Source organism: Homo sapiens, chromosome 17 (genome assembly GCF_000001405.40).
Source record: "Homo sapiens chromosome 17, GRCh38.p14 Primary Assembly".
NCBI lineage: Eukaryota > Metazoa > Chordata > Mammalia > Primates > Hominidae > Homo > Homo sapiens.
In genome coordinates this window covers 29,936,674-29,958,227 of record NC_000017.11, presented here as the reverse complement: position 1 = coordinate 29,958,227, position 21,554 = coordinate 29,936,674, and the positions used below count along the sequence as shown (strand labels likewise).

The 21,554-nt window shown below is 39.1% G+C and overlaps 1 protein-coding gene across 14 annotated transcripts in view; it reads right to left on the bottom strand.

Moving 5' to 3' along the window:
- Positions 1 to 21,554, bottom strand: part of EFCAB5 (EF-hand calcium binding domain 5) — a 178,550-nt gene that overhangs the window by 150,225 nt on the left and 6,771 nt on the right. For 9 of the 14 annotated variants that reach the window (NR_026738.2, XM_011524759.2, XM_011524765.2 and 6 more), the window contains exons 1-3: positions 16,390 to 16,594; positions 15,926 to 15,988; positions 14,579 to 14,663 (exon numbers count right to left, since the gene is read on the bottom strand). Coding sequence is in view for 12 of the 14 variants with exons in the window: in XM_011524759.2 (XP_011523061.1) it covers positions 14,579 to 14,663; positions 15,926 to 15,988; positions 16,390 to 16,431 (190 nt within the window). In the remaining 2 variants the exon portion in view is untranslated. Of the gene's footprint in view, positions 1 to 14,578; positions 14,664 to 15,925; positions 15,989 to 16,389; positions 16,595 to 21,554 lie in introns of those variants that run through there. The other 5 variants (XM_024450742.1, XM_024450743.1, XM_047435947.1 and 2 more) reach the window with 2 other exon arrangements.

The following is a 21,554-nucleotide window of genomic DNA, read 5'->3' as shown; positions in this document are numbered from 1 at the left end:
TTTATTTAAAAGGATAAAAACAGAAGATTTTCCAGAAAAAGATAACAATATTCAGCTACAATATTTTTTTCTTAATAAAATAAAATTACAGGCCAATATTTCTGTAGTCAGATATTTCTTTAGTCTTATGAACATTGAAGCAAAATCCTCCACAAAATACTAGCAAACCAAATTCAACAACACATTAAAAAGATAATTCATTGGCAATTATTAAAAAGTAAAGCCACAACAGATGCTGGCAAGGCTGTGGAGAAATAGGAACACTTTTACACTGTTGGTGGGAATGTAAATTAGTTCAACTATTGTGGAAGACAGTGTGGTGATTCCTCAAAGATCTAGAACCAGAAATACCATTTGACCCAGCAATCCCATTGCTGGGTATATAGTATATACCCAAAGGAATATAAATCATTCTGTTATAAAGATACATTAACACATATGTTCATTACAGCTCTATTCTCAATAGCAAAGACATGGAATCAACCCAAATACTCATCAATGATAGAATGGATAAAGAAAATGTGGTACATATATACTATGGAATACTATGCAGCCATAAAAAGGAATGAGATCATGTCCTTTGCAGGGACATGGATGGAGCTGGAAGTCATTATCCTCAACAAACTAACACAGGAGCAAAAAACCAAACACCGCATGTTCTCACTTATAAGTGGGAACTGAATAGTGAGAACACATGGACACAGGGAGGGGAACAACATACACTGGGGCCTGTTGGAGGGGTGTAGGATGAGGAAGAGCATCAGGATAAACAGCTAATACATGTGGGGCTTAATACCTAGGTGATGGTTTGATAGGTGCAGCAAACAACCATAGCACATGTTTACCTATGTAACAAACCTGCATGTACTGCACATGTATCCTGGAACTTAAAATAAAATAAAAATTAAAAAAAAATCCCTCATCATGCCAGGGATGCAAGGGATGCAAAGATGGTTCAATATATGTAAGTTAATCACTGTGACACATCATATCAACAGAATGAAAGACAAAAACCATATGATCATTTCAAATGATGCCAAAAAAGCATTTGATGAAATTCAACAGCTCTTCATAATAAAATCCCTCAAAACACTGGGTATAGAAGGAATATACCTCAACAGAATAAAAGCCATATATGACAGACCCACAGCTAGTATCACACTGAATGGAAAAAAAATGACAGCTTTTCCTCTAAAATCTGGAGCAAAATAAGGATGCCCATTTTTACCATTGTTATTCAACATAGTACTGGAGTCCTAGCTAGAGTAATCAGATAAGATAAAGAAATAAAATGCATCCAAAATGGAAAGAAAGAAGTCAAATTATCCTTATTTGCAGGATTTCTCTTTTTCTCTCTCCCCAGCCCACCTCTCTCTTTCTTTCTCTCTCTCCCTCCCTCCCCGCTTTCCTTCTTTCAATCACTCCCGTGACTTCTAACACTACAGGTTAATTTTGCTTGCTTTTGAACCTCATATTAACGGAATCACAGAGTATGTGCTCTTTTATATCTGTTGTTACTCAACAACATAACCACTTAGGGTCATGTTGTGTGGCATTAGTTGTGTTAAATCAAGTTTGGTCTAAAGCTGCATCCATACAAATTTTCAGTTTGGCCTAAAGGTTTCTCCATACATAGTGAACTGTAACCAAACTTGATGTGTAAAAAGACCATAACCTACTGTTGTAACAAGTAGCTGAGTGTGAGCCAATCACAGCAGCCAAACTTCTGTCAACCACAGACAGTCAGCTGTTCAAACCAGCTTCAAATAAGGCAAGTGCCCAGTTGTAACCAATCTAGCTGTTTCTGCACTTCACTTCTGTTTTCTGTACATCACTTTCCTTTTTGTGTCCATAAATGTCATGTGACCTTGTGATAGCCCTGGAGTTGCTCTGATCCTTTTCTGGTTCTGGAAGCTGCCTGATTCCTGAATTGTTCTTTGTTCAATTACACTCTGTTCAATTTGTCTAAAGCTTTTCTTTTAACAGTTGTTATTCATTGCTACGTAGTATATTATTGTATAACTATATTACAATTTATTTATTCTACTGTTGATAGACAATTTAATAGATTCCAGATTTGGCTATTCCCTAAAAAACTGTTTCAATATTCTGCATATGGCTAGCCAGTTATCCCAACACCATTTATTGAATAGGAAGCTCTGTCCCCATTGTTTGTTTTTGTCAGCTTTGTCAAAGATCAGATAGTTGTAGGTGTGTGGCCTTATTTCTGGGTTCTCTATTCTGTTCCATTGGTCTATTTGTCTGCTTTTGTACCAGTACCATACTGCTTGGATTACTGTAGCCCTGTATATAGTTTGAACTCAGGTAGCATGATACCTCCAGGTTTGTTCTTTTTGCTTAAGATTGCTTGGCTACTCGAGCTGTTTTTTGGTTCCACATAAATTTTAGAATAGTTTTTTTTTTTTAGTTCTGTGAAGAATGTCATTGGTAGTTTAACAGGAATTTTATTGAATCTATAAATTTCTTTGGGAAGTATGGCCATTTTAACAACATTGATTCTTCCAATACATGAGCATGAAATGTTTTTCCATTTGTGTCATCTCTGATTTCTTTGAGCAGTGTTTTGTAGTTCTCCTTGTAGAGATCTTTCACTTCCTTGGTGTATTAGTCTGCTCTCATGCAGCTAATAAAGGCATATCCCAGACTGGGTAATTTATAAAGAAAAAAAAAATTAAGGGACTCACAGTTCCACGTGGCTGGGGAGGCCTCACAATCATGGTGGAAAGCAAAGAAGGAGCAAAGTCATGTCTTACATGGCAGCAGGCAAGAGACAGAGCATGCGCAGGGGAACTCCCCTTTATAAAACCATCAGATCTTGTGAGATTTATTCACTATCATGAGAACAGCATGGAAAAGACCCACCCCTATGATTCAATTAACTCCCACCAGGTCCCTCCCATGACACGTGGGAATTATGGGAGCTATAGTTCAAGATTTGGGTAGGGACACAGCCAAACCATATCATTCTGCCCCGGCCCCTCCCAAATCTCATGTTCCCTCATTCCAAAACCAATCATCCCTTTCCAACAGTCCCCTAAAGTCTTAACTCATTTCAGCATTAACTCAAAAGTCCACAGTCCAAAGTCTCATCTGAGACAAGGCAAGTCCCTTCTGCCTATGAGCCTGTAAAATCAAAAGCAAGTTAGTTACTTCCTAGATACAATGGGGGTACAGGCATTGGGTATACATCCATTCCAAATGGGAGAAATTGGGCAAAACAAAGGGGCTACAGGCTCCATGCAAGTCCAAAATACAACAGGGCAGTAAAATCTTAAATCTCTGAAATGATCTCGTTTGACTCTGTGTCTCACATCCAGGTCACACTGATGTAAGAGGTGGGCTCCCACAGCCTTGGGCAGCTCTGCCCCTGTGGCTTTGCAGGGTACAGCTCCCCTTCTGGCTGCTTTCACAGGCTAGCATTGAACGTCTCTGGCTTTTCCAGGTGCACGATGCAAGCTGTCGGTGAATCTATCATTCTGGGGTTTGGAAGATGGTGGCCATATTCTCATAGCTCCACTAGGTGGTGCCCCAGCAGGGACTCTGCGTGGGGGCTCCAACTCCACATTTCCCTGCCACACTGCCCTAGTAGAGGTACTCCATGAGGGCTCCATCCCTGCAGCAAACTTCTCCCTGGACATCCAGGAGTTTCATACATCCTTGAAATCTAGGCAGAGGTTCCCAAACCTCAGTTCTTGATTTCTGCACACCCACAGGCCCAGCACCATGTGGAAGCTGCCAAGGTTTAGGGCTTGCACCTGCTGAAGCAATGGCCTGAGCTGTACATTGGTCCCTTTTAGCCACAGCTGGAGTGGATGGGATGCAGGGCACCAAGTCCCAAGGCTGCACACAGCAAGGGGGTCCCTGGGCCCGACCTATGAAACCATTTTCCCTCCTAGGCCTCTGGACCTGTGATGGGAGAGGCTGCCATGAAGGTCTCTGACATGCCCCAGAGACATTTTCTACACATGTCTTGGTGATTAAAATGTGGCTCCTTGTTACTTATGCAAATTTCTGCAGCTGGCTTGAATTTCTCCCCAGAAAATGGGGTTTTCTTTTTTATTGCATAGTACTACACATAGTACTATTGCATAGTAGTCAGGCTGCAAAATTTTCAAACTTTTATGCTCTGCTTCCTCTTGAACCCTTCACTGCTTAGAAATTTCTTCCCCCAGATACCCTAAATTATCTCTCAAGTTCAAAGTTCCACAGATCTCTAGGGCAGGGGCAAAATGCTGCCAGTCTCTGCTAAAACATAGCAAGTCACCTTTGCTCCAGTTCCCAACAAGTTCCTCATCTCCATCTGAGACCACATCAGTCTGAACTTTATTGTCCATATCACTATAAGCACTTTGGCCAAAGCCGTTCAACAAGTCTCTAGGAAGTTCCAACTTTCCCACAACTTTCTGACTTCTTCTGAGCTCTACAAACTGTTCCAACCTCTTCTTGTTACCCAGTTCCAAAGTCGCTTCCACATTTCTGGGTATATTTACAGTAGCATGCCAGTTCTGGCACCAATTTACTGTATTAGTCTGTTCTCATGCTACTAATAAAGACATACCTGAGACTGGGTAATTTATAAAGAAAAAAGTTTAATGGACTCACAGTTCCATGTGGCTGGGGAGGCCTCACAATGACGGTGGAAGGCAAAGAAGGAGCAAAGTCAGGTCTTACATGGTGGCAAGTAAGAGAGAGAGAGCATGTGCAGGGGAACTCCCCTTTATAAGACCATCAGATCTTGTAAGACTTACTCACTATCATGAGAACAGCATGGAAAAGACCTGCTCCCCACGATTCAATTACCTGCAACTGGGTCCTCCCATGACACATGGGAATTATGGGAGCTACAATTCAATATTTGGGTGGGGACACAGTCAAATCATATCACTTGGTTAGCTGTATTTTATTTTATTTTTTTTGTGGCAATTGTGAATGGGACTGTGTTCCTGATTTGGTTCTTGGCTTTACTGTTGTTGGTGTATAGGAATGCTAATGATTTTTGTACGTTGATTTTGTATCCTGAGACTTTGCTGAGGTTATCACCTTAAGGAGCTTTTGGGCTGAATATGGCATTTTCTAGATATAGGATCATGTAGTGTGCAAACAGGGATAGTTTGACTTCCTTTCTTCCTATTTGGGTGCCCCTTATTTATTTCTCTTGCCTGATTGTTCTGGCCAGGTAAACTCGCTATTTTTAACCTTAACTGGAAAGTAGTTATTAAGATGTGCTTCAATCATTAATAACTCTCAATAAATAATATCATATAATAATAGCAAGAGATAAGAATTTTTATAACTCTAGAGCAGTTTTTTTAACCTTACTTATTACAAAATATTAAAGACCTGCAAGTATAATGATGATATAATAAGTAGCATGTATCTACTCTTAGCTTAAGAAAAAAATTACCTATATATTAAAGCCTCCCATAGACTGCTACTTTGAGAGATAGACTATTCTGAATTTCATGTTTATCATTTCCATGCACTTATTTTTATTCTATCTAAGGAATACAACATTGTTCTTGTTTTTTAATTTCATAAAAAATTTCATACTATATATATTCTACAGTCTTTTTTATACTTAGTATTTGGAAGATTCATCTATATTGAAAGGTATAGGTCTAGTTCATTCATTTTCACTGCTGCATAATACCTTATGATATAACTGTATTGTAATGTGCTTATTCATTCTCTTTTAGATAGACTGGGTTATTTCCAGTTTTTCTTTTTTTACTATAAAGACAATCCTATTATGAAAAGTATTGCATATGTCTCTTTGTGTCCACATGTGAGGGTTTCTCTGGTATATAATTACTAGGATTTCAATTGTAGGTGGTATGTTTTGAATGTATGTGTTCCTCCAAAATTCATATGTTGGAACCTAAGACCCAATGTGATAGTATTAAAAGGTGGTACCTTTAGGGAAGTGATTAAGTCATGAGGGCTTTGCCTTCAAGAATGGATTAACAGTACCTTTCTAAAAGGGCTGGAGGGAACTAGCTAGGAACCTCCCTTTTTTTTGCCCTTCCATCTATTCTGCCATGTGAGGACAGTGTTCATCTCCTCTGGAGGACACAATGTTCAAGGTGCCATCTAGGAAGCAGAGACAAGGCCCTTACCAGACATGAAACTTGCTGGTGCCTTGATCTTGGACTTCCCAGCCTCCATAACTGTGAGCACTAAATTTACACTGTTTATAAATTACCCAGTCTATGCTATTTTGTTATAGCAGCAGGAACAGACTGGCACAGGGTCATAAGTATGTGCATTTCACCTTAAGGAGATATTATTAAATTATTTCCCAGAGTGATTGGTTCCAATTTATGTCACCACCTGCAAGAATAAGAGTTCCTACTGTAGAGCAGTGGTTTTTGAACTATGCTTCTCAGGGTCCCAAGAGGGAGTTTCAAAGGCCATAGGACTCTAAGCCCCTTGTACTGTTTGTGACTGGAACAGCTATGCTTCAATTTGTTTTACATAATTGTAGAGCATAGGAAATTTTCATTTGAAAAAAAAGGTTTTCCTGCCTTAGAAAAGTTTAAAAACCAATATCCTGGCTGGGTGCGGTGGCTCACACCTGTAATCCCAGCACTTTGGGAGGCCAAGGCGGGCAGATCACAAGGTCAGGAGATTGAGACCATCCTGGCTAACATGGTGAAACCCCGTCTCTACTAAAAAAAAAAATAAAAAAAAAAATACAAAAAATTAGCCAGGTGTGGTGGCGGGCACCTGTGGTCCCAGCTACTTGGGAGGCTGAGGCAGGAGAATGGCATGATCCCAGGAGGTGGAGGTTGCAGTGAGCGGAGATCGCCCCACTGCACTCCAGCCTGGGAGACAGAGAAAGACTCCGTCTCAAAACCAAACCAAACAAAACAAAACAAAAACAAAAAAACAATATCCTGAAGAATACTTTTAAATCTTATTTAGATAGTATCCATCTTTCTGTCCAGGAGAAAAATTGGTCTGTGAAGAAACCCTTGAAAAGCCAACATTTCATCTACAGAATGTCTTAAATCTAACAGTGGATAGTATTTATCAATCTCTCTCCCAAGTTTTGATTTCTTCCTTGGCCTCTTCTCTTATTCCAATATGGGAAAAGTAAAGAGGGTAGTATAATGCTTCCCTTCAACTCTAAGTTGGATTTGCAAACTTATTAACTGCTTTGGGTGGGGGAAGAGGGAAAGGTGTGTTTCCCTTCTGTTTTGTCACAATGCTCATAAATATATAATGCTTTTATTTTTATTTTTAAATAAGTGTAAAAAGAAAGGAATTCATTCAAGTCTATAGGTTCTAATGTACAGTTGACCCTTGAACAATGTAGGAGTTAGAGGAAGCAATATCTGCACAGTCAAAAACCTATGTATAACTTTCAACTCCCCCAAAATTTGACTGCTAGTAGCCTACTGTTGACCAGAAACCTTACTGAAAACATAAGCAGTTGATTAACACATATTTTGTATGCTATGTGTATTATATACTGTATTCTTATAATAAAGTAAGCTAGAGAAAGAAAATGTTATGAAGAAAATCATAAGAGGCTAGGTGCAGTGGCTCACATCTGTAATCCCAGCGCTTCGGGAGGCTGAGGCAGGATGATCACTTGAGGCCAGGAGCTCAAGACCACTCTGGGCAACATAGCAAGACCCAGTCTCTGCAAAAAAAAATTAAAAACTTAGGTGGGTGTGGTGTACATGCCTGTAGTCCCAGCTGCTCAGGAGGCTGAGGCAGGAGGATCCCTTGAGCCCAGGAGGGAGAGACTGCAGTGAGCTATGATTGCACCACTATACTCCAGCTTAGGCCACAGAGTGAGACCATGTATCTGTATTTTTTTAAAAAAGAAAGAAAGAGAGAGGTGGTGGGGAGGAGGAAGGAAGGAGGGAGAGAGAGAGGGAAGGAGGGAAGGAAGGAAGAGAGGAAGGAAGGAAGGAAGGAAAGGAAGAAAGGAAGGATATCATAAGGAAGATAAAATATATTTACTATTCATTAAGTAGAAGCAGATCATCATAAATGTTTTCATTCTCATTGTCCTCATGTTCGATAGACTGAGGAGAGGAGGAAGAGGAAGGGTTGATCTTGCTGTTTTGGAGTGGCAGAGGTGGAAGAAAATCTGTGTATAAGTGGACCCATGCAATTCAAACTGTGTTGTCCAAGAGTCAACTGTACTCTTTCCTTTTAACCTGTCTCCCATAACCCAAGGCAGACAATTCCTCCTCCTGCATTAAGGATATATGGCAACTTAATATCTACCCATCTGTCATGGCTCATTAGTAAACTCACATGTGAACTAAGGCATTCTCCATCTTCATTGCAGCCTGTTAGTGCTCTTCTAGTGTACTTGGCTATCATTGGTTGCTAAGCAATAATCCTAGTGCTTGCATTGTCCCCACTGATGTACAGAATGGAAGTAGACATGTGTTTGGTTACCACTGTAGTCAAACACTTCTCTCTTAGAACCACAAAAACAAGAAAAAGAAGCACAGCAACAGCAGGGTCAACAAATCAGGATTCTGAACAAGCCTATATGAAGCTGTCTTTTGACTGAGTGACCTCTGAATTCATGGATCACAAATTACAGCACTGCCCCAAGGGCAATTTAATTCAGAGGTTTAACTGAATAGTTTCAAAGATGTACTGGATTTTTTAGCAGGTCTCTGGTTGGACATCCTAAACCTTTTAAGATTGATTGATTAATTCATTTATATACTGACTCAATAAATAACTATTAATTTCTCACTGCGTGCCAGGCACTGGAATTCTTTTTCAGGATCATCTTCCTAAACTTTTCCAAGAATCAAGAGCCTTTCAAGCTCTGCCCCCAATATGTACATCTTCGCCACTCTAGTGGTCTACCTTCTAATATAAAAAGAACTATCCAGGCACTATGAGTATAAGTGCTTTCAACTAAATAAGTAGGGACACAAAAGAATTCCTTGTACATATTTTGAAAAGTCTAGCCTTATAATGACTTTTATCATTTTCAGCTCTCAGTGTATGGTCCACTGCTGGGCAGAGCCTCAGTACAAAGCCTATTTAAGGACATAAATAGGAATGAATTATAATTCATATTGTAATAAGTCTTAGCAGGCTCTTTCTTCACAAGGAGGCATATAACATTAGTGGGTCTGGCTGCTGATTAAACTGGTGAAAATTGACCCAGCAGGGCTACTTAAGCTGTATGATGTTTTCTTTAAACACAGGCCCTGTTTGAAACTCAGCGGCTTTGTCCTTATTATCAGGATTTCTTAACATTGGCACATGATGTAGAATGACTGCTGCAAAGGAAGGAGGTAAAGAAGTACTACTAAACACCACTGGAATTAAAATTCAATAGATAAAGGAAAAGGCAGTTTCCTACAAAACACTCTTAATCTTAGGGCTGTGTAATAAGAATATAACTGAGCAAACTGATAGTTAAAAAAAATTCTCAAAATGCAAGTTAAGCTCAGCCTGAAAAGTAGAAAAACAAGGGTAAAGAAATGAGGAACTGACATGATATATTTAACCACAGTATTTTCTATGCAACGATATGTATTTGAGTGCATGTTGGGAGCTGCTTATCAAGATAACATGACTTTAATTTTGACAAGTATGTAACAAGGATGAAGACACTTCCTTTGACCTGTTGAAATTGCAGTAACAGTTCCTCTTCCTACTTTGTATATACCCACACACACACACACATTCACAAATGAGGGATTTAGAGTAAAAAGTTTTAATAATCATAAATAATGATTATTTAATAAATAAGTACACCGCATTGTGTTTGATATCAGAATAAGCAACTGCAATGTTTTCAGTACATATCATATACTGGGATAAATCGATTTAAACAAAACACATTTCTCTCTACCATACATTGAAAAGCAATAAGAGAAATTGAAAGTAGAAGAAGAGGAAAGACCACAAACTCTTGCTTGATATGTTTTCTGGGGAGGTGAAAAATTACCTGATGGAATACATATGTACAGTTTTGTAGGTGCAAATATGGCCACAAACTAATTAAAGTGAACATCTAATTAAATTTATAACAAATTACCTATATCAAAATTCTGTTTGGCATTTTTAAAATGAATGAGTTAATTTAGGCCAGGCGCGGTGGCTCAAGCCTGTAATCCCAGCACTTTGGGAGGCCGAGGTGGGCGGATCACCTGAGGTCAGGAGTTTGAGACCAGCCTGGCCAACATGGTGAAACCCCGTCTCTACTAAAAATACAAAAATTAGATGGGCAGAGTGGCAGATGGCTGCAATCCCAGCTATTTGGGAGGCTGAGGCATGAGAATCGTTTGAACTCGGGAGGCGGAGGTTGCAGTGAGCTGAGATTGCGCCACTGCACTCCAGCCTGGACGACAGAGCAAGACTCCATCTCAAAAAATAAAATAAAATAAAATGAATGAGTTAATTTATAAACCTGGCCCAAGCGATTAAGGTAAAGGCAAAGTATATGTATGTGGTGTTGGTGGTAGATGTTTGGCATAAGGAAGTAAAATCAGAAAAACAGGAGGTGGGGACAGGTAGAAGAGGATAAGTAAAGACTTGCCAGGAAGAAAATTTTTAGAAGTTAGTGAAGCTGTGAAAACAGTACTAAGTTTATAAGAAAGACAGAATAAGTGTTGGAAAGTTTGGTTCTTTTAAAAAAAAATTTTAAATTTTCAGGGGTACAAGTGATTTTTGGTTACATGGATGAATTGTATAGTGGTGAAGTCTGAGATTTTAGTGCACCCATCACCTGAGTAGTATACATTGTACCCAATATGCAGTTTTTTTAAATCCCTTGCCCCTCCTTCCACCCTCCCACTTCTGAGTCTCCATAGCCCATTATATCGCTCGGCATGTCTTTGCATACCCATAGCTTAGCTCCCACTTCTAAGTGAGAACAGATGGTATTTGACTTTCCATTCTTGAGTTACTTCACTTAGAATAATGGCCTTCAGCTCCATCCAAGTCGTTGGAAAAGATATCATTTCATTCTTTTTTATGGCTGAGTAATATTCCATGGTGTATATATACCACATTTTCTTTTTCTTTTTTTTTTTTTTTGAGATGGAGTCTCGCTCTGTTGTCAGGCTGGAGTGCAGTGGCGTGATCTCAGCTCACTGCAACCTCTGCCTCCTGGGTTCAAGCAATTCTCCTGCCTCAGCCTCCCAAGTAACTGGGACTACAGGCACCTGCCACCACACCCAGCTAATTTTTGTATTTTTAGTACAGACGGGGTTTCACCAGGATGGTCTCGATCTCTTGACCTTGTGATCTGCCCACCTTGGCCTTCCGAAGTGCTGTTTATCCACTCATTGGTTGGTGGGCACTTAGGTTGGTTCCATATCTTTGCAAGTGTGAATTGTGCTGCAATAAACATACATATGCAGGTGTCTTTTTAATATAATGACTTATTTTCTTTTGGGTAGATACCCAGTAGTGGGGCTGCTAGATTGAATGGTAGATCTACTTTTAGGTCTTTAAGAAATTTCCATACTCAGCCGGGCGTGGTGGCTCACGCCTGTAATCCCAGCACTATGGGAGGCCAAGGCGGGTGGATCACGAGGTCAGGAGATCGAGACCATCCTGCCCAACATGGTGAAACCCAGTCTCTACTAAAAAAATAGAAAAAATTAGCCAGGCTTGGTGGCAGGTGCCTGAAGTCCCAATTACTTGGGAGGCTGAGGCAGGAGAATGGCGTGAACCTGGGAGGCGGAGCTTGCAGTCAGCCAAGATCATGCCACTGCACTCCAGCCTGGGTGACAGAGCGAGACTCTGTCTCAAAAAAAAAAAAAAAAAAAAAAAAAGAAATTTCCATACTCTTTTCCATAAAGGTTATACTAATTTACATTCCCACCAGCAGTGTACAAGCATTAGCTTTTCACCATATCCATGCCAACATCTATTGTTTTTTGACATTTTAATAATGATCCTTCTTGCAGGAGTAAGGTAGTATTTCATCGTGGTTTTAATTTGCATTTTCCTGATGATTAGTGATGTTCAGCACTTTTTCACATGTTCATTGGCCATTTGTATATATTCTTTTGAGAAATGTCTGTTCATGTCATTTGCCCACTTTTTGATGGGATAATTATTTTTTTCTTCTTGCTGATTTGTTTCTTTGTAGATTCTGGATATTAGTTCTTTGTTGGACACATGGCAAATATTTTCTTCCATTCTGTGGGTTGTCAGTTTAGTCTGATGGTTATTTCTTTTGCTGTACAGAAGCTTTTCAGTTGAATTAGGTCCCATTTATTTATTTTTTGTTTTATTGCATTTGCTTTTGGAGTCTTCATTATAAATTCTTTGCCTAAGCCAATGTCCAAAAGAGTTTTTCCTAGGTTATTTTATAGAATTTTAAGGTTTCAGGTCTTAGATTTAAGTTTTTGATGCATACTGAGTTGATTTTTGTATAAGGTGAGAGATAGGGATGCAGTTTCATTCTTCTACATGTAGCTAGCCAATTTCCCCAGCAACATTTATTAAATAGAGTATCCTTTCCCCAGTTTATGTTTCTGTGTGCTTTGTCAAGTTTGGTTGTAGGTATTTGGTTTTATTTCTGGGTTCTCTATTATGTCTGTGTGTCTACTTTTATACCAGTACCATGCTATTTCAGGAACTATAGCCTTGTAGTATAATTTGAAGGAAAGTTTGGTTCCTTTTTTTTTCTCTTAAAAAAAATTGTTTTTTAGAGATTGGGTCTTGCTGTGTTGCCCAGGCTGGTCTCGAACTCCTGACCTCAAATGATCCTCCCATCTCAGCCTCCCAAAGTCCTGGGATTACAGGCATAAGCCACCACAACAAGTGCAAGTTCGGGTTTTAATGAATATGTATTGTAATGTGTATTACTAGGAAGAAATAGTAAATAATTACTCTTAGTTGGTTTAAAAAGAGAGAAGAACACTTTGGGGAAAAAAAAAAACCCAGCACCTAAAAATTACAACTAACATCTATATATCAATTTATAGTTTAGAAAACACTTTGATATTGCTATACTTCAGTCCTAGCTCAGCCTAGCGTATACTAAACATTCAATACTGGTAAATTGAAGAAAAATTATAGTAAAATTATTAAATTTTAAATATTGTAAAGAATTTCTGGTGGTATGGATTTCACTAAGTATTTGGAGTTAAAAGAGCTGTAATGAAAGAGATGAATGTCTTCTCTACTTTTTTGAAGACTTTTTAATCCTATAAATTTTCAATCTGCATAATTATGTGGAATTTGGGTTAAGGATGGGGCTAGGAGTCAAGCTTTGGATCAAACGGAATAAATATGTGGTCAAGTACAGGAGTAAAAACAGTAAACAGTGTTGGCCGGGCACAGTGGCTCATACTTGTAATCCCAACACTTTGGTAGGCCAAGGCAGGCAGATCACCTGAGGTTGGGAGTTTGAGACCAGCCTGGCCAACATTGGGAAACCCCATCTCTATTAAAAATACAAACTTAGCCGGGTGTGATGGCACGTGCTTGTAATCCCAGCTACTCGGGAGGCTGAGGCTGGAGAATCGCTTGAACCCGGGAGGCTGAGGTTGCAGTGAGCCGAGATTGCACCATTGCACTCTGCCCTGGGCAACAAGCGCAAAACTTCGTCTCAAAAAAAAAAAAACAAAACAAAACAGAAAACAACAAAAAAACAACAACAAAACCCAAAAACAATAAACAGGGCCAAGGACAATAAGCAGCCCAAATCACTGGAGTTCTTCATTTTATTATTGTATTAGTGGGTTGCCTGCTAGATGTCAGTCAGCTTTCTTAGATAAATTTTCTCTTTAAGTGCAAGATGAATAATCATAAATTGCCTCAAAAGCATTAATAGAAGGTGAATGAAATACATTTTAAATTGTTTCCCAAACTGCATTTAAAATACCCTCTGGCCTATAATCTCAGTGACTCTGGAGGCTGAGACAGGAGGATCGCCTGAGTCCAGGAGATCGAGACCAGCCCAGGAAACATAGCAAGAAATTCTCTCTACAAAAATAAAAAATAAAAAACTAGCTAGGTGAGGTAATGTGTGCCCATAGTCCCAGCAACTCTGGAGGCTGAGATAGGAGGATCACTTGAACCCAGGACTTTGAATCTGCAGTGAACTATGACCGTGTCACTGAACTTCAGTCTAGGTACAGGGCAAGATCCATCTCTAAAAATAAAAATAAAATAAAATATCCCCTGAAATTATATCTTTAAAATGCAAAATCTTGAAGAACGCATCCCCAGTAAAATGTTAATGATAGTTTTAGATTCTTTTATTTATTTATTTTTTTGAGATGGAGTTTCGCTCTGTCACCCAGGCTGGAGTGCAATCCACGAGCTTGGCTCACTGCAACCCCCACCTCCCTGTTCACGCAATTCTCCTGCCTCAGCCTCCAGAGTAGCTGGGATTACAGGCACCCGCCACTATGCCCAGCTAATTTTTTGTATTTTTAGAAGAGATGGTGTTTCACCATGTTGGCCAGGCTGGTTTCGAACTCCTGACCTCTGATGATCCACCCGCCTCGGCCTCCCAAAGTGCTGGAATTACAGGCATGAGCCACCACGCCCAGCCAGTTTTAGATTCTATTGTATAAGAGAAAGGCTAGTTCTCTACCTTGGGATTTGATTTCATCCATTGCTTTCTCCACCACACTGTTGGTGTCCTCTTTTACAGGAACGTCTGGCACACTCTGTAAGGTCTTTGAAAAGAGGAAAAAAATCACCAATTTCAATGTGACTTGATTTTCAACAAAGTTGTATAAATTATTCCAATTAAAGGAAAGTTAATTGCTTTGTAAGAGTTAACCAAACATTCCTAGTTAATTTTTCTGGGATCTAATGCTGTATATTAGAAGCAAAGAGGTAATCACAGTGTATTTTCTGCATTTACAAGATAAAATGTGTTGGTTCAAAATGTCATCACATCTTCCTGTTACTAACAAAGTAATATGCTAGGAATATCATTTTAGATGTACATTAATTCTTGAATTATACAATAGTTTATAGAAACATGATTTGAGACCATAGCATAAGGAAATCAGACCTTTGGAAATGCTACTGTTTTACTACTAGAATCACTTTCTGTATTTGTGGCAAAAAGAAAAAGCATTTAATCTTAATTGAGGAAATTAAAGATTAATTTTATGAATAGCAACAAAATAGTTTTTGTATACATGCTAATGTACTTTAAAAATCTGACTATATATATATATATATATATATTTTGGAGATGCAGTTTCACTCTGTTGCCCAGGCTGGAGTGCAGTGGCATGATCTCGGCTCACTGCAACCTCCGCCTCCTGGGTTAAAGTGATTATCTTGCCTTGGCCTTTCAAGTTGCTAGGATTACACGCATGCACCACCAAGCCCAGATAATTTTTGTATTATTAGTAGAGATGGAGTTTCGCTATGTTGGCCAGTCCGGTCTTGAACTCCTGACCTCAAGTGATCCACCTCGGTCTCCCAGAGTGCTGGGATTACAAGTGTGAGCCATCGACAATCAATAGGATATTTTAAAAACTCATATTAGTCAACTCACTTGTGAATCTATAGGACTATTTTTAATTGCCTCCCCTTTTCTATGAAACGTTCTTCTTTATTGTAGCCTTGTATTTATTTAAACACAAAGTTACTTAAATGATTAACCTGGAAATTACATTTTCAGCATGATAGTAAAGTGACCCTAAAAGCTGGTGGTTACAGTTTTTAGGGTAACTTTAGAAAGCAGTCTTTATTTATCTGTAATTTATAACAGTTCTTCACAAATAATTTACCTGTCCATGGAAGTTTCCTGCAACTTACTCAAATGAATCAGCTTAATAATCAACATGAGTTTGTCCTTTTCCTTTTGCAATTTTAGTTATCTTTTTGAATACCCACATCTTTTCTTTTATCATAAGAAAATTGATTTATCTAGCTTATTCTCCAGCATTAATATCTGATTTATTCATGCCAACTCTACCTCATGAAGCTCTTTCACTTCAGTTAAGTTCCATTTCCTCTCTTTGTCTTCTTTTCTGTTTTCCTGAAATGCAAACAGTGTTAGTAAATGGCATCCAAAAAGAGCTGTGGATTAAACTACTGTCTCATACTTTAATACAGTAAGCTTTTAATTTTTAAAAATTTCACATAATGAGTAAATATCATGTGAAATAAAATTACACAAAGTAGTTGTATCAACAAATTCAAACAATAACAGACTTTTATATATAGTCAAGGAATGCCAACCAACTAGAAGCAGGTCGCCATGACTCAACTGTTATTTTGACCCCTTTTACAGCATTTCTGTCAAAACCTGATGCAGAATACTTCAACCAAAAAGAGAAATAATTAAATGATAGACTGTGATATTGCATCTCAATTTTCCCAAGAATGTTGAATCTCAAATCTTCCCATAAATGTGATAAACCTATGTAGGACAAGAACCTGAGCAGGTCTGAGTTCCTCTTGAGATGCTGACTCATTCATTTGGACTCCAAAAGTTATCACCAAATGGTATAGAAGAATATTACTAGACCAGTATTAATAACAAAAAGAAAGAAAATATTAATAAACATCACAAAGTACTCCAGAAGTTAAAAAAGCTCCCTCACTCCTGCCCTCACCTCACCCCACAATTCTATTGAATGATAAATTCTCAACTGCTGAACTTTTCCAACTGTATTACTGTTATGACTGTTGCTACTGACCAAAGCTAGATCATTGCTCAGGGAGACAAGAAAACTCACCATAGTAATCATTACTACTATCATTAAAAAAAAAATACAGCAGCAGTAATGCAATTGCATTTTTAACGTGATTGTCATCCTCATTAATTTTTGAGATAACAAGGTGAGGTAAAGTGAAACTTTTATGGCTACCTAATTCATGCAAGAAAGGTAGATAGAGAATAGAATAATAATATCTCAAAAGGCATTTTTTTGGGAAGGGAGAATTCCAGAGGAATGTGACTTATCTGGTTTATTCATTTATATTGAGGTATTAAAATAAATAATTACCAGATCCCCACTTTACTGCAAATGACTGTAGATTCACAGATTATCAAATCACTGCCATGCCAAAAATCATTTAAGAGTTTGTATATATATGAGCTAGGTGTTGTGTAAAGAGTAAATTATATTCACACAGTCTGCCTCCAGGACAGTTACAGTCTAGAGACTCTAATTTGAAATAGTATGTATCTAATGCTCTAGCGTATTCACTTTTCTTTCTTTTCTTTTTTTTTTTTACAGAGTCTCATTCTGTCGCCCGGGCTGGAGTACAGTGGTGCAATCTCGGCTCACTGCAACCTCCGCCTCCTGGGTTCAAGTGATTCTCCTGCCTCAGCCTCCCGAGTAGCTGGGACTACAGGTGCTCACCACCATGCCTGGCTAATTTTTGTACATTTAGTAGAGACAGGGTTTCACCATGTTGGCCAGGCTGGTCTTGAACTCCTGACCTCAAGTGATCCACCCTCCTCAGCCTCCGAAAGTGCTGGGATTACAGGTGTGAGGCACCGCACCCGGCCATTCCCTTTTCTTTTTATCAACATAACACATGTTCTAGCTAAATAAACCAAAAGTACTGCCTTTGGAGAGAAGAGTTTCCAACATTTAAAAATAGCTGCCTCAAAGTCTTTTTGACTCACTTAATAAATAATAAATAATAGAAAATAAATTTATGTGATAGCTCCCAACTGTATATTCTCAACAGCCTCATTTCTTTGCTTATGGTGTCCATCTCCTGAAATTGCTGAGAAGCTTCCTTCCATTTCTTTTAAAATCTATTTGGTTTGGATGCACTCAGATAAATTCAACTCAATAAGACTTTATTAGGTGCTTTCTATATGCAGGCAAAGGTTAGGTCTTAAAAGGATGAATAAGACCTGCCTTAAAGAGTTCCCAGTTTAGTCCGGGCGCAGGGGCTCACGCTTGTAATCCCAGCACTTTGGGAGGCCAAGGCGGGTGGATCACCTGAGGTCAGGAGTTCGAGACGAGCCTAGCCAACATAGTGAAACCCTGTCTCTACTAAAAATACAAAAAAGTAGCTGGGTGTGTTGGCAGGTGCCTGTGATCCCAGCTACGCAGGAGGCTGAGGCAGGAAAATGGCTTGAACCCGGGAGGCGGAGGTTGCAGCGAGCCAAGATCATGCCATTGCACTCCAGCCTCGGCAATGAGCGAAACTCCATCTCAAAAAAAAAAAAAAGAGTTCCCAGTTCAGTGAGGGAAAGAGATGCAATTCAATCTGCAAAGTGCAAGAGTAGAGGTACACACAAAATGTTAAGGAACAGAGAAATAAGCAGTTAATTTTCCCAGGGTAGTTAGGGACATTTTCACAAAGGAAGCTGGATAGTAAAAGACTAGTAAGAAATTTGAAGCAGAAGGAACAAACACTCAAGGTTCAAAAAGTGTTTGAAGAATTCATATAGCAGATATGCTGATATGGACAAAGTGTTAGTGGTCTGGATAGAAGATCAAATCAGCTACAACATTCCCTTAAGCCAAAGCCCAATCCAGAGCAAGGCCCTAACTTCTCTTCAATTCTGTGAAGGCTGAGAGAGGTGAGAAAGCTGCAGAGGAAAAGCTGAAAATTATCAGAAGTTGATTCATGGGGTTTAAGGAAAGAAGACATCTCCATAACTTAAAAGTGCAAGGTGAAGCTGCAAGTGCTGATGTAGAAGTTGCAGCAAGTTACCCAAAAGATATAACTAAGATCGTCAATGAAGGTGGCTACACTAAACAATGGATTTTCCATGCAGACTAAACAGCCTTCTATTGGAAGAAGATGCTATCTAGGATTTCATAGCTGGAGAGAAGTCAACGTCTGGCTTCAAAGCTTCAAAGGATAGGCTCACTCTCTTGTTTGGGGCTAATGCAGCTGGTGACTTTAAGTTGAAACCAATGCTCATTTATCATTTCAAAAATCTTAACCCTTAAGAATTATGCTAAATCTATTCTGCCTGTACTCTATAAATGGAACAACAAAGTCTGGATGACAGCACATTTGTTTACAGTATGGCTTAAGGAATATTTTAAATACACCCTTGAGATCTACTGCTCAGGAAAATTGATTCCTTTCAAAATATTACTGTTCATTGACAGTGTACTTGGTCACCTAAGAGCTCTGATGGAAATGTACAAGGTAATTAATGTTGTTCCCACGCCTGTCAACACAGAATCCATTCTGCAGCCCATGGATCAAAGACCAATTTAAACTTTCAAGTCTTGCTTAAGAAATACATTTCATAAGGCTATAGCTTCCATAGACAGTGATGATTCTGATGGATTTGGGCAAAGTAAATTGAAAACCTTCTTGAAAGGATTCACCATTCTAGATGTCATTAAGAACATTTGTGATTCATGGAAGGAAGTCAAAATATCAGCATTAACAGAGTTTGGAAGAAGTTGATTCCAACCCTCATGGATGACTTTGAGGGCCCCAGGACTTCAGTGGAGGAAGTAACTGCAGATGTAATGGAAATAGCAAAAGAACTAGAATTAGAAGTGAGGCCTGAAGATGTGACTAAATTGCTGCAATCTCATGATAAAACTTGAATGAATGAGGAGTGTCTTCTTATAGATGGGCAAAGAAAGCAGTTTCTTGAGGTGGAATCACTCCTGGTGAAGACACTGTGAACATCATTGAAATGACAACAAAGGATTTAGAATACTACATAAACTTAGTTGTTGAAGCAGTGGTAGGATATGACAGGACTGACTAATTTTGAAAGAAGTTCCACTGTGGGTAAAAAGTTATCAAACAGCATCAAATGTTACAGAGAAATTATCCAAGACAGGAAGAGTCAATCAATGTGGCAAACTCAATTGTCTTAATTTAAGATATTTTCACAGCCATGCTAGCCTTCAGCAACCACTACTCTGATCAGTTATCATCTATCAACATCGAGGCAAGATCCTGCATCAGCAAAAAGATTTTGAGTGGATAAAGGCTCATACGATTGTTAGCATTTTTTAGCAAAAAAGTATTTTTAAATTAAGATATGCACATTTTTTAGACATAATCCTACTGCACACTTAATAGACTATAGTATAAATATAACTTTTATATATGCATTGGGAAACCAAAACTTCATGTGACCACTTTATTGTGATGTTCTCTTTATTGTAGTGGTCTGGAACCAAACCCAAAATATCTCCCAGGTCTGCCTGTATGAGGGCCAAAAATATAATTTTAGTCACCACAATGGAGAATTCCAACCTCTCACCCAGTTCCTTAATTGAAAGGTGGGTCCCTTTGAGAAAGAGCTCTGTAGCATTGCCACTAGTATATACTGAAAAATCTTCCTCTAAGTCTTTTCCACAGAGATTGATGGCCATTTCCTAAAATGGCTTTGTGCTAGGGAAAAGGAATATCCAGGTTTTTCAGAGATATCTAAACACTGATTCTAAACTGATGTTAATCCTGGGGATCCAAAATACCACTTCAGTCCATAAGGTTAAGTGGGGGTTTGCGGTGGCCAGATGGAGTCTTAACTCAAGTTTGAATCACAGTGGTTTAGTAGGGCTATAGAACCACCCTGTGGTGATTTCATCAGTCCCTGAATATATAATTAGAACAGAGATACTGGTAACTGGCAGGATCTCTATATCCTTTCTCTGACTCTGGAATAAGGACTATTATAGTAGGAAGGGCCAAGTGGAAGCCTTTGAAAACCTCCCCTCAAACTCCCTTCAAACACACCAGGACAGTAAACAAAAATATTGCTTCCTTGGGGTTGGGAGGATGGGGGATTACAAAGATTAATGAAACCGGTAAAGATCTGAAAGAAGCAGGAGTGAGGCTGGGCACAGTGTCTCATGCCTGTAATCCTAGCACTTTGGGAGGCTGAGGCGGGTGGATCACCTGAGGTCAGGAGTTTGAGACCAGCCTGGTCAACATGGTGAAACCCCGTCTCTACTAAAAATATGAAAATTAGCCGGGCGTGGTGGCACATGCCTGTAATCCCAGCTACTTGGGAGGCTGAGGTAGGAGAATCACTTGAACCTGGGAGGCGGAGGTTGCAGTGAGCCGAGATTGCACCACTGCACTCCAGCCTGGGCGACAGGAGTCTCAAAAAAAAAATAAATAAATAAAGAAGCAGGAGTGATGAAAGCTACCTCACACCAATTTAACTTGCCTGTTTGGCCTGTGAAGAAGGTGGATGGATCTTGGAGAATGACTGTGGATTACTGTAAATTTTATCAGATTATGCCTCCACTTGCACCTCCTCTTCCATACGTAGTATCTTTATTGGAGCAAATCAACACAGTCCTTGACACCTGGTATGTAGCTATTGTCCCAGAAAAATGCTTATTTCTCCATATAAATTGGCAAGAAACACCTGAAGCAGTTTGGTTTTACTTGGCAGGGCCAACAATATCCCTTCACAGTCTTGCTCAGGGCTACATCATTTCTCTAGCTCTCTGCCATAATATAGTCTACAGAGATATTGAGCATCTTGACTTCCCAGTCAGCATCACATTGATGAAAGTATGCTGATTGTATCCGAGGAGCAGGAAGTAGCAAGGTCTTTAACTGTCTTTAAGAGATATATGCAAACCAGAGGATGGGAAATAAATTCCATTCTGGCATCAATTTCCCTATCAATCAAG